This window comes from Homo sapiens, chromosome 10 (genome assembly GCF_000001405.40).
Source record: "Homo sapiens chromosome 10, GRCh38.p14 Primary Assembly".
Classification (NCBI taxonomy): domain Eukaryota; kingdom Metazoa; phylum Chordata; class Mammalia; order Primates; family Hominidae; genus Homo; species Homo sapiens.
Window position 1 is genome coordinate 11,157,077 of NC_000010.11, and position 12,221 is coordinate 11,169,297.

Here is a 12,221-nt window from a genome sequence, read left to right on the forward strand (position 1 = left end):
AGGTCCTTTGCGGAACAGGCTCCAGGGGGTGGCATTTCAAGAGCAGGTTGGGGGATGAGGCTGTGTCCCCTGTGCAAAGTCACCCATGCACATGACTGCCGTCGGCGCCAGGGTCTTTGCTGGTACTTCCGTGCCTCTCACACATGCATGGTTGTAGAGGAGCTGTGCTCTGGGGCCGCGTTTCCCACCTTCCCAGCTCCCTTCCTTGTTAGAGCCGCCTTTTTCTCCCCAGTTTTTTGTTTCGTTTCAATGCCATTGCCAACTAGGTGAAATGGTATAGCCTGTTGTCTTTTGACTTTGATATCCGCCCTCCCCCCACACACACACACACAAAAATTTCACTTAAACATTGCTCACAGGGATGCAGCATAGTTCAGAATGCCAAATGCCCAATCCCCTTGGCTTAATGAGTCACTTGTTTCTAACTAACTCCAGGCCTTTATTTATTGCTCTATTATAGGCCTTATACCACATTGGTTTTGGTTTTATGTTGTGTCCATGTCTGTCTCTTCTAATTGGCCATGAGCAGCAGAAGGACATAAATGACCTATTTTTCAGCTCTCTCACCTTCAAACCTACCACTGTGCCTGACATAAAGCAGATATTCAGTAACTGAGAATGAGAAGGAAAGAAAAGGACTCAGGGTAAACCTCAGTTTTGTTTAAGATTCTGCAAAGGGGAAGAACTGGCTTTCACCACCCAGGCTTCTGAAGTGTGTAGAGAGGGTTGTGAATCCGCACTGACCGTGTTCTCTTGCATAAATAAGTCCAGGCAAAGTATCTTCAGTGGTGAAAACAGAAGTTACCTGCCTTGAGAAGCACAGTCACCACAACCTAGTCTGCAGGGAATCAGATGTCGTGTGTCTTTCGTTTGCCCCCCTTGATGTGGGTCCCTTTAATCATTTGTTGTTGGACTGTGGAGGCAGTGGGGGACATTGTGTTAAAAATCATTCTTCATCTTGGGAAGCGCAGGCCCCTGTTGAGTTTCCCCCTATATTTGTCTTCATCTTATCATTTTACAAGGATTCTCTTTGTAGTTAACTGACGGTGAAACCAGTCTCCTGTCAATCATCCAAAGAGCCACTTTCAATTAGTTGCCCATAGCCAACAGGTGGCTTCAGCAGCATCCAGCCATTGGCAGGTAAGTCAGACTGGAAGGATACCCTAGACCTGCTGTAGAAGCAGGGGCTCCTGGAGGAATTTCCTGTCTGTAAAGTTAGGGGCAGTCACACTGAGCTCAGCCGCAGGAGAGAGGATTCATTGGTGTCGTCCCTAAAGCGCTTTGGGAATGGGAAGCCCTCAATAAATCTTCCTTGTGGTGATTGTTTCCCTGTTGCCATTTCTAAAAGTTCATCTAGAACACCTACCTCTCCCTGTGCAAACGCCTCCTGCTTGGCCCTGAAGTCCACTGAACTATTTCTGATAAATCACAGAAGGAAATGAGTTGCCTGGGTGAGGGCTGTCTTAAGCTGCTGCCTTGCTCCCTTCCCAGGGAGGGTTATTGTCTGTTCAGCCATCAGGTACCCCCTAGATGTCTCCAAATTTACTTCTTTGTGGGGGTTCTCCAGCTTTGTGCCTTTTACTAGCAGTCACATTGAAATAAGGTAATAAGGTTTCCCTTTTCCAAATGCCTGTGTTCTGTGATCTTTTCTGCAGGAATAGTTCTCTACGAATTTTGGATGCATTTTACCCTGGCAAGCATTTGAGACCCCCAACCGAACACAGTTCAGCAATACCTTTGGTAATCCAGCATAATGTCCCCAAGAACACAAATGTGTTATTTCTTAGTTGTTTGTGAATAACAATGATGTCCTGTACATTCTTAAGAAACTATTTTTTTAATTTTGTCAAAGTGCAGGATTGATCATAAGGTAATACGTGTGTATGTACATATAGGAAACCTGAACCTTTTCTTCAGAGGAGCTCAAGCTATTTAATGACAATTTGACCATTTAGAGAAGGGCTTTGACTTTGTAATGTTTAGGGTATTTGCTCTGGTCAATTTTCCATGTGGATTCACTAGCTGATGTGTGGCCATCTCAGAGATGGTTTGGGGCCTCATTCCATAATTTATGTGGCAGTGACTCAAAAGGTTTAGTACACATGATAAATGGTAACAATACCTTCCACCTAAATAGGGGAGTGTCATTATTTTCACATATTTTTGGTGGCGTAACTGATAACCAAAACATTTTGTTAAATTTACCCAAAGTTTTCAGCAGCCCTGGATGCCACTACAGTTAAGACATAGCTGTGTCAGAAAGGTGGCAAACTCTGCCCTGCCGAAAGGCAGTCATGGAAGACAGACGCGTTTTTCATGATGACTGTGAAGCAGTGCATTTTAAAAGGGAGTTGCAATTCCCAGAGCTCTGGGTTGGATGACCACTGACTCCTCTTCCTAAATCGAAAGGATGCGCTAAGTTGAGCATGGACAGGGCGCCTCCTGAGGGTAGGGCCTGAGTTTCTGATGTGTTCTCCAGCATGCAGTGTGGGAAGGAGCTGATGCTGAGACCTTAGTTGCCCCACTGCCAGTCTGTTGGGAAGAGATTTCTCTTCTTAAATAATGGCAACACCAAAATGAACAATGTAGAGATTGTTAATATTAATGAATTTCATGTCTGTCCTGTTACCCGCCGGAGGCACCAGGCCCATCGCCAGGTTCTTTCTGCTTTTGCCTTAAGCAGCTGAGTCTTGGACAGTTTCCTGTAATAACCAAACAAAGCCTGTTTCTTCGTGTGCTATTACTTAAGTACAAGTGATATTTAAAAATGATTCCTGAGCCCTTTGAAAGAGTGGCTTGTTAGCTACAGAAATGATGGGACTGAAGTTAGGACATTAAGAAGAGCATTGGCATACCTGGCAAGAGATGGGGCTCTCGCAGCACCCCAATTAACCGGCCACTCAGCGGCCTGTCGGAGCCTCCAGGCTACTCTCCATAGTGTCAGTGACACCTTGTCAGCTCTCCAGCCTGCAGCCTGTGTCACCTGTGAGCCAGAGGGACTGAATTGGACACAGGCAAGGAATCACAACAAGATTTCAGGCAGCTGGTTATATTATCTAAATTAGCTTTTCCATGAATCTCTGGGTCCAGACCATAGCCATAGGATTATAGAAATTAAGAGCCAGATGGGAACTATCCTCTTGCTTTGTTTTACAAGTGAGGAAACTGAGGCGCAGAGTGGTCACATCATTAGCCTCAGATCCTAGAGTTAAGTGGTTGCTGAGCCAGGATGAGAACTCAGGCCTCCTGGCCCACTGTTCACTGACCTGCTGTTGAGGGCCTCAAGCACTGATGGGGCTTTCCTGGCCCCATATTCTTGTGTTTCCAAAACAAACCTCCCATGCAATGATGTTTAGATAAATCTCAACTCTAATCAGTAAAAAACAAGCAAAGGACAAGTATATTTGCATCTATAGCTATTTAGGTAAACTGAAGTTAAATAAAAATTCAATTCCTTAGTTGCATTAGCCACATGTATCTAGTGGCCACCATATTGGACTGTGCAAATACAGAACATTTCCTTCATGGCACCGGGTTGGGTAGCACTGACGTGGATTATCCCAAGGATCAAAAAAAAAAAAAAAAAAAGAGTATTGGAGTAATAAGATTATTAATAACTACCAGGCAGATTTTCTATCTTTACGCACAATTTTTCTAAGACAAGGCTTTTTTGTGTGTGCTTTTTTATTTAGTTTGCATTCTGAAGATGACATTTTATGTCTTTTAGCATTCGTATAATAATTTATAGCCATTTGGCAATTCTTATAGCCATTTTGTAAGTTTGTTCTTCTTTTTATATAAATGAAGGAAATACAACACAGAAAGTTGCCCACAGAACAAGATAAAAGAATAGAAATTTCCATTCTTTTGTTTGCATTCTCCCAAAGGAAGCCTGCAAATCACTGGGCCTTATAAAAGCTTGTTGTCCTAAAACTAGTAAAAATAATATGTTGAATCAATTATTATAATAGTTTACTGATTAGAGGGACCTCAGAAGATTTTGCATATACTCTGTTGATCTAGTTATTTTTCCTCTAAAATAGGGAAGTAGGTCAGTGCCTGGGTTAAAACTAAAAAGTAAGCACTCATCGTTTTTCCGAACAAGATTTCATTTTCATCTTGTCTCTGACACTGAGAATACTATTGCCCACTGGCGTAGTGCTTGCAGACTTGCGGTCTTATTCCATATGGCATCTGTCTTAGAGGAGCCTTCTAGCTGGCTCCTTGCCAAGGGTACTAGCAGAATTGGCACTCAGGATCTCATTGCAGTTTGCAGGCAAGGTGCCAGCAGAGATGTGTGCGCATGTGTCTGGGGCCTGCGAGTGGTCACCGAGTTGGGAAATGTCCACCTGGAGAAACCCAACTCATGGAACGTGAAGCAGAGGCAGTTGACCTTCACCTCTCACTGCATTCACATTCTCTAGGCACCTTTTGTGTGACATTGGAAAAGTCAATGTATCTCTGACTCTCATTGGGTTCATCTCCAAAACAGATAATGATTCCAGCGGGAGCTGTTGAAGAGTATTGTATATCAAGTACTTGGCAAAGGTTTCTGGCAAAGAGTAGCTCCTCAATAAATATTATTTGAATTTGGATGTAAATTCTTGGACTGTAAGAGGCACTGTACTGGGTGTTGAGAATGGCTAGGGAGTGAAGAGAAGCAAGCTAGTCTGATTTTCTAAGCCCTAGATGAGGTTGTTGTAAATAGGAGATCTTCTCAGGGGTCTTGCTGAGATTTGGGGTGTCTATTCCTGTAATTACTTCTCTTTGAAGAGCACATTGGCTGTCCTTAGTTTCTAGCAGGTACCTCCAAAGGTTTAACTGTTGAACACATAATTTCTGGCTTGCTTAGAAGTGTCAGTGCTACAGCCCCATGAGGATGAAAGAATTCAGTGAGTCTCCGCTAAAAATGAGCATCAGCCAGGGAGAGAGTTGGGAGTCCAGAGCAGGATTCATTTGGGTGGATGAGAAGGGAGTAAACCAAGCTGCGGCAGTACTGTGGGGATTCAGGGCATGTGATTCGGCAGTGCCAGGAGAGTGGTCGGTGGGACAGGACCACCCATACCACCCATTTCAGCAGTGCCAGGAGAGAGGTTGGTGGGACCGGACCACCTATTGAGGCAGCGCCAGGAGAGTGGTCGATGGGACAGGACCACCCATTTTGGCAGCGCCAGGAGAGTGGTCAATGGGACAGGACCACCCATTTCGGCAGCGCCAGGAGAGAGGTTGGTGGGACAGGACCACCTATTTTGCTTTTGATCAGGAAGGTGGGGGGTGGTGATATTTCAACTTGTACAGCAAGTGGACATCATTGGATTTACTTAAGGAAGGGATTGTCCTGCCCTTAGAACTTGATGCAAATCTTTGGAAAAGTTACTTCCAAAAGGGCAGGTAGTTTGGCAAGGATGTAGATAGAAATGAGAGGTGCTCATGGGTGGCTCTGTAGGAATAGAGAAGAAGGGAATCTGTGGAGATGGAGACACACTATGTGACTGAGTAAATGTAGGTTTCAAAGTAGCCTAAACTGGGGTGGGGGGGGTGAAAAAAATGTAAAGTACCTATCACAATATTTGCTATATAAGTGATGACCAAAATACACATATTATTATTTAGGATAGGAATTGTGGTTGAGTCTATACTATAAAAATTTTGAATTGAAAAGTAGATTTTTGATGGTCACTCATTTCAGATGCTTCACAGATGCAAAGAAGGAATTAACAGTAGGAATAGCCGACACTGAGAGAGCCCTTATTTTGTGCCATGTCTTGTATTAAGCACATGAGTCTAAGAGATGGAGTCCGCTATACCCATTTTACAGATAAGAGTCTGAAGCCCAGAGTAGCACATTTAGGAAGAGGTGCTGCCAGAACTCAGAGCCCCTGTACCACACTGCCTCTAGATGAGAGGTCTCCAGGCAGCGGTGAAGCATGGCTCATGGGATGAAATACTAATGTACACCAGCCACATACAGGCCAGAGGCATGAGGCATTGGCCGGCTCCTCTACTTCCCTTACTTGATGCATCTTGGTGAGTTTATATTTTTCGAAAAAGAGTAAATGGCCTCTTATTTGCAGAAGCATTGAAGACTGCTTGCTCTAGAATTCTGACACTAGAACTAGTACAATGCCACTCCCTTCTCCATTGTGTTACATTATGTGCTCCGCAGATGAGGTGCGGCAGCCCCATTTTTTGAACTTCTGTTTTCTGTTAGCCGAGACCTGTGGCAATACCTTCCTCTTTTCAATCTAGCTGGTTGTCAACAGCAGTAACCACAAGTCTTTCCTGTCCCAGAAATAAGTCTTGCCACACTCTCAACCCCCGACAGGGTGTGAACATGACATGCTGTACTGCAAGGGGCTCCACTGCCTCCACCCCGCTACAGCCACAGACCCACAGGGTTCAAGTGTTGATTGAATTCTCAAAGAGCGACTTAAAAAGGATAGGTGCATAAGAACAAGATAAACAATCTGGCTCTAATATAAACAAGGATTACATTACACCAAAATTGTTGAGAGAAGATTTTGTACTCAGTATTTTATTCAGCAGAACATTTTTTATAACAATAAGGTTGATTAGAGCAAGCTCTGAAAATGCTTCAAGTTAGACAGTCTGATTGTTTATTTCAAGGATAAAAAAATAAAGTGGTAAAATAGGGGGATACGAAGAAGTAGAAATTGAAACCAGGACCTAGCGAAGAGTATTTGACATCATTTTCCTCTCTAGGTTGAATCTCATTCAGGATTTTTCCTTACCCCGTAGGGTTTTGGCTTTTTAACCATGAGTATCTTGTTTTTAGGGGCTTAGGGCCATCCTAGACCCACAGCAGATTTAAAGTGCTCTGATGGTGTATTTGTCTGGTGTTTCATTTTAACCAAGTAAGTAGCTCTCTGTAAGATCTTTGTCTACCTTCTTGGTAGTACCAGGAAGCTACAGGGAGATCACATCTGGCCCTTGCAGTTTAGTATTAGTTAGCATGTCCCCTTTCTGACCTCTCTGCTTTTTGGGGTGGGTCTGCTCATGGAGGAGGCTCTGTAGGGGCAGCTTCTGCCTGCTTTGTTTCGGCGCCTTCTATTTTCACAGGCTGAGAAGCTGGAGCAAGCGCGCAGTGCTGCAAATGAGCTGCCGAGAGGCATTCAGCCTTGTCACTTGGCAGAGTAGCTGGGTTCAGGGTATATTTGGAGCGGGGGTAGGGGGCACAAAAAGGGTACATGGTTTTGCTTTACTGTTTATTCCTGCTCAAAGGAGGGTGGGGGCAAGTGAAAAAGACATGTCTTCATCATCGTATTACTTGATGGTGACTAGAAGTGCGGGCTGTACACAGCATTCTCTTCCAAATGGGGATTTTGGAAACAGCGTTGAGGAGGACTGATATGCAAAAGCTTATGGTTGTGCTCTCTGTCAGCCCCAAATATTTACTGAAGCTGGGAGAAGAAAAGGCAGACTTTCTTTTTTTCTCTCCCAAACGTGTGATTGTTTAGAACTCAAGTGCAACATCTGGAAGTCAGATATACAGAGAACAATTTATGGAGTGTGAGAGATTTGAAATATTCAGTGTCTTTTAGTGGGAACTCAACTTTCTGGGGCTGCTTTTTTTTTTTTTTTTAACCCAGCACAAAGCAGGCAATTCTGAGATCTCCTTTGCCTCTCTGAATTAAACCCTTTGTGCCTGGGTCCCATAAACAATGTGCTTTTTAAAGGGGAGCCCCCTCCCAGCTCCGGCCTTTTTCTCCAGCGTGGGCAGCCAATCAGCTGCGCAGAGCTGCATAGCTGGACCGCTTTCCATTCTGAGTAGCAACAACGTACTAATTTGATGCACACATGGATGCCTCGCGCACTCTGCAAATTCATCACCCGCATCTTGCATTAGTCATCTGACGGACTGCCAAGTGTTTCATTTTCTTTCCATGTGACTTTATTATTACCACCTCTCTCCTCTCTTCCAAAAACCTCCCAAAAAGGGCGGTGGGGCGGGGGGCGGGGCAGGGAGAGGGAGAGAAATCCAGCAGACATCTAGCTCTGCCTTTCTTTCCCAGCCACAGCCAGGGTAGGGCTGATAAGGCGCTGATGCGTTGATGGCAGCCTTGCAGAGCTAGACCTGCACTTAACTTGCAGCTGCCTCCCGAGCCTCCAAGATGTCCACGCCCTGGGTGACAGGCGGCAGGGCGCTGCCCCGTGCTCCCCCGGCTCTGCTCGACAGCAGCACGCAGTGAGAGCCTCGCCGCCGCCGAGGAGCAACTCATGGTGCCTCCGCTTTGTTTTAGTTCATCAAATTTCTACGACTCATTAGGCACTTTGCCACTGCTCTTCTTCCTCCTCCTTCCGCCTCCCCGCTCCCCCACCCCCACTATTTTTTCTTCCTGTCCCTCATCGTGCCGCCCTAACTCTGGCTCCCGGTTCCGTTTTTGACAGTAACGGCACAGCCAACAAGATGAACGGAGCTTTGGATCACTCAGACCAACCAGACCCAGATGCCATTAAGATGTTTGTCGGACAGATCCCCCGGTCATGGTCGGAAAAGGAGCTGAAAGAACTTTTTGAGCCTTACGGAGCCGTCTACCAGATCAACGTCCTCCGGGACCGGAGTCAGAACCCTCCGCAGAGTAAAGGTACAGAGCGCGGGGCGGGGGTCGCCAGGCGTCCAGGTGGGCGTCGCGGGGCACTGGGGCTGTCCGAGCCCCCAGCCTGCAGGAGGAAGGGCGGGTAGGCAGGAGGGCTGGAAGCAGCCGGTGCTGGCGGCCCCTGTGCTCCAGGGGCTGCTCCCGACTCCTCCCCGCACCCCCGCCCGCCTGCCCGCCGGGACAGGTTGGAGGCGGGAGAGAGGGACCGAGGCAGGGCGGGAGCGCAGAGGCTCGGTCCAGGCGCGTGATCGCTCCCGGGAGGTCACTTTCTAGGCAGCCCAGCCTGTGCTTGGGCGGGGTGGTTGCTTCTCCGAGGAATCGCGTTTCCCAGCCTTGTATTTCAGGACCTAACTCTTCCCACCCCTACGTTCCTAGGCTTGCCCATGTAATTACAATTGCATTTCACTTTTCCATAGCCTGTGGGGACCTCTAGGTAGCTTATAAACAGTTGACGTGATGCCACTGGTGCGAGGGAGAAAAGGCTCCCCTGAAGAAGGGACACCCATTCCTGGGGGTCAGGTGGGGACCGTGAGGTGAATCTGCCTTTTGGAGCTGGGAGCAGCACCCTAGTGGCCTGACATAGTTAGGACACCTTCACAAATGCTTGAGGGTTACGCCCTTATCAGTGTGGAGATGAAGGTATAGGATCTGGTAGTTGTTACTGCCTCCATTTTAAGATGACGGTGATGGGGGGCAGTGGGTGCCATTAATGAGATAGAGACCCAGAAACCATTGTGAGGAGTGTGATGCTTCTATGCCCTGGAGTCTTACTTTGTAAGCTCTTTGCAGACTGAATTTAAAATATCTACTCTGCTGCTACCACTTGGTCTCTGTTGCTGTTTTAACGTTTTTGCTTTAGTAATTTTTTCTTCTTTCTCTGTTGTTGATCTCTCAGTCTCTCTACTGAGGAGTCCTCTCTGTTGTTCTGCGGGCCTCACAGTTTCTTTTGCTCTGTGCCTTGGTGTTTCTGTCTGGCATGTTATTTTATTTCTATATTGCTTCTCCTAAGACCTCTGAAAGCATCACTTGGCTTGTGTATACACTTCGGTTGGGCACACGAACATATTGGCACATACTTTTCTCTAACCCTTTTCCTTACTGGCAAGGTGAAATGATAGAACTAGGAAATCTTTAAGACTGACATTCTGTGACTCCGAGAAATTTTGGGCTGTTCCTCTTGTTCCCTGTTGTTGCCAGGGTCTGGCAGGGCTTTGGAAGCCTCTTAAGGAACTGAAGAGCCCCTGGCCAGTACTCGTTTTAGAAAGGTGGACATGCGTGTCTTCGGAGTGTGTTCATAACACTCTAGTTTTCCAAACGTAGTAGCAAGGTTGTTTCAAAAAGCACATAGAATGTTGTCACCACAAACTTGATTGCCTCATTATTTGAGACGTAGAAAGATCAGATAACTGAGAATCTGTAGATTTTTAAACTTCACAAATGAGCGCAATATTAAATACCTTTATTGGACATATTCTGATACTGGTTACCTACATGTTTTCCAAATGGAGAAGACTAGAGTTTGTTTTAATACTTCCATGGTATGCTATTGAGGAAAGACAATAGGCTAGAGCTAAAAAAATTAATAAATTTAAAAATCACCAAATAAGGGCTCTCTCACCAGCCAGACTGTCACCTAGGGAAAACTAGACCAGAGGCAGTAAACTATGCTTTAGAGAAATAACCACAATTCATCCTTGACAAGGAAAATGCGACTCCAAATTTTGGTTTATCAGCATTTTTAAAAGTTACCTTTGACATAATGGTCAGAGCTCACTTACTGTTATGATGCCTGGTTCCGGGACTTTCAGCCATGGAATACATGTATCTTACCTTGGCCAAAAAGTCCTTTTTCCCAGTCAGGTAAGTACCTATGTGTGGCCTAGTTATTCTCCCATTGTCTCTCTCTTGCCCAGATGTTCCTATGAGCAGCATTTTTTACCAGCCTATATTTGATACTATACATTTTGTTAACTTCTGTTCACTGTGCCTGATTACTAATTTGGCGAAAATAGTTTGCAGAAGCCCGTGGGGCTGCAGAAGAAGGGAGGCCTGATGAGGGAAGTTTTTTTGAGCACGTGCTATGTATCTCAGACCCTGTGTCAGGAGCTTTACATGTGTCCTCATTTTGTCCTTACCAAAATCCAGAAGGTAGGTGGTGGTAGTCACATTTTACAGATGAGGAAACTGAGGCTTATAAGAAGTTAAGAAACATAGCCCCGTTTGCCCAGCTGTTAAGTGACAGAGTGGAGATTCGGACATGGTCCATCTGTCTTCATGGACTACACCATTTTGCGTCTTCATGAGATGAGATGGCAGAGTAGCCCTGGTGTGCTGTGTTTCAGGGCCTGGGTCAGGGGCAGTCTCCTTTACTTAAGTGTTCCCCAAGTGAAAGGAAGAAATTTCATTCTTGAAGAATGAGTTGATTTCATTTCTGTCTTTGTGTTTAGTTTTTATACTCAGGTGTTTAGATTGTACATCATTCCCACCCCATGATATCATGGGGTAGGAGTTAGAGATGAAATCATTCAAATCTTACCTTTGGAAATACAGGTCAATTCCCATTACTGTGAACTCCAAGTCTCACATCAAATATTCCTTAAAGTATGTGGGCTGTCAGCCAAAGCTTGAAAGAGCTTTTGTTATACAGACATCTCTGTTGTGAAGGTATTTGTTGTGATGGGATTTGAGCTGTATAATGACATTGCTCTCAGAGGATTACAGCCCTTAGCCGCTTACCTAGAGAGAGCAACAGCCCCCACTTTATTCATGTTGATACCTATGCATGCCATTATTATTTTGCCTGTTTACATGTAAAATAAGACCTCACATTTACTTTGATTCAGACTTTGTCGGCAGAGTACAATTATCATGTTTTCACAGGGCTGATATCAGAGCCTCAGAAACTAGAATTACTGGAGGTGGTTTGGGTTATGTGAGTGAGGCTTTTGGAGAGGCCTTGATTCATTGCCTTACCCGTGTTGATGGTCCCAGGCAAAGAGACAGTCAGGCTGTTACCTAATAATCCTGGTGAATTAGATTTTCCCCCTCACTTTCCATTTCATCTTCTGTTTAGTCGTGAGACACAAAGACTTGGTCATACTTGTGAAATCATCCTTTCAGGGTTCGAGCCTGAGATACCTATATTCTCACTGTAGGGGCATGTATTGACCAAGCAGGCTGAGTAACTCTGGGGACTCTGGCTCAGTAAACTCTCTCCCACATGAGGACTTTGGAAAAGTGTGTTTTATTCAGGGTTCATCTGTTTGGTCTGTAGATGGTGAGCAATACCACAGAGAGTTAAGAACATGGCTTCTGAAATTGGAGAACCCTAAATTTAATTTCTGGCTCTACTGCTTCTTTGCTACGGGCCTTGGGCATGTTACTTAATCACATCTTAAAGTGGAGGCAGTCCTTGTAGTGTTGCTGTGTGATGAGGTGATGTGCTCTCCACAGAGCTAGGATACAGTAGGAGCTGGTTATGGCAGTCATGATGATCATAGTTGTTGTTATTATCTCCATCAATGTCTCCAAGAACGTAAACTCTAAAAGGGACAAGAAGGCAGGTCCACAGGTAACTCTCATACAAAAGAACATGAGCTAAGA

At 45.3% G+C, this 12,221-nt stretch overlaps 1 protein-coding gene across 69 annotated transcripts in view, besides 2 other annotated features; it reads left to right on the top strand.

Annotated features, from left to right (window-relative positions):
• The window catches only part of CELF2 (CUGBP Elav-like family member 2), an 874,126-nt gene that overhangs the window by 694,527 nt on the left and 167,378 nt on the right, over positions 1 to 12,221 (top strand). For 61 of the 69 annotated variants that reach the window (XM_047424494.1, NM_001326323.2, NM_001326320.2 and 58 more), the window contains one exon: positions 8,410 to 8,606. In XM_047424494.1, coding sequence (XP_047280450.1) covers positions 8,429 to 8,606 — 178 coding nt within the window. In that variant the 5' untranslated portion in view covers positions 8,410 to 8,428. 69 annotated transcript variants of the gene reach the window in all.
• Positions 704 to 813: a silencer, noted in NCBI's record as "silent region_2125". NCBI's record gives its function as "represses an Ori minimal core promoter by ATAC-STARR-seq in GM12878 lymphoblastoid cells {active_cell/tissue: GM12878}" and the evidence as "EXISTENCE:reporter gene assay evidence [ECO:0000049][PMID:35858748]".
• Positions 8,636 to 8,875: a silencer, noted in NCBI's record as "silent region_2126". NCBI's record gives its function as "represses an Ori minimal core promoter by ATAC-STARR-seq in GM12878 lymphoblastoid cells {active_cell/tissue: GM12878}" and the evidence as "EXISTENCE:reporter gene assay evidence [ECO:0000049][PMID:35858748]".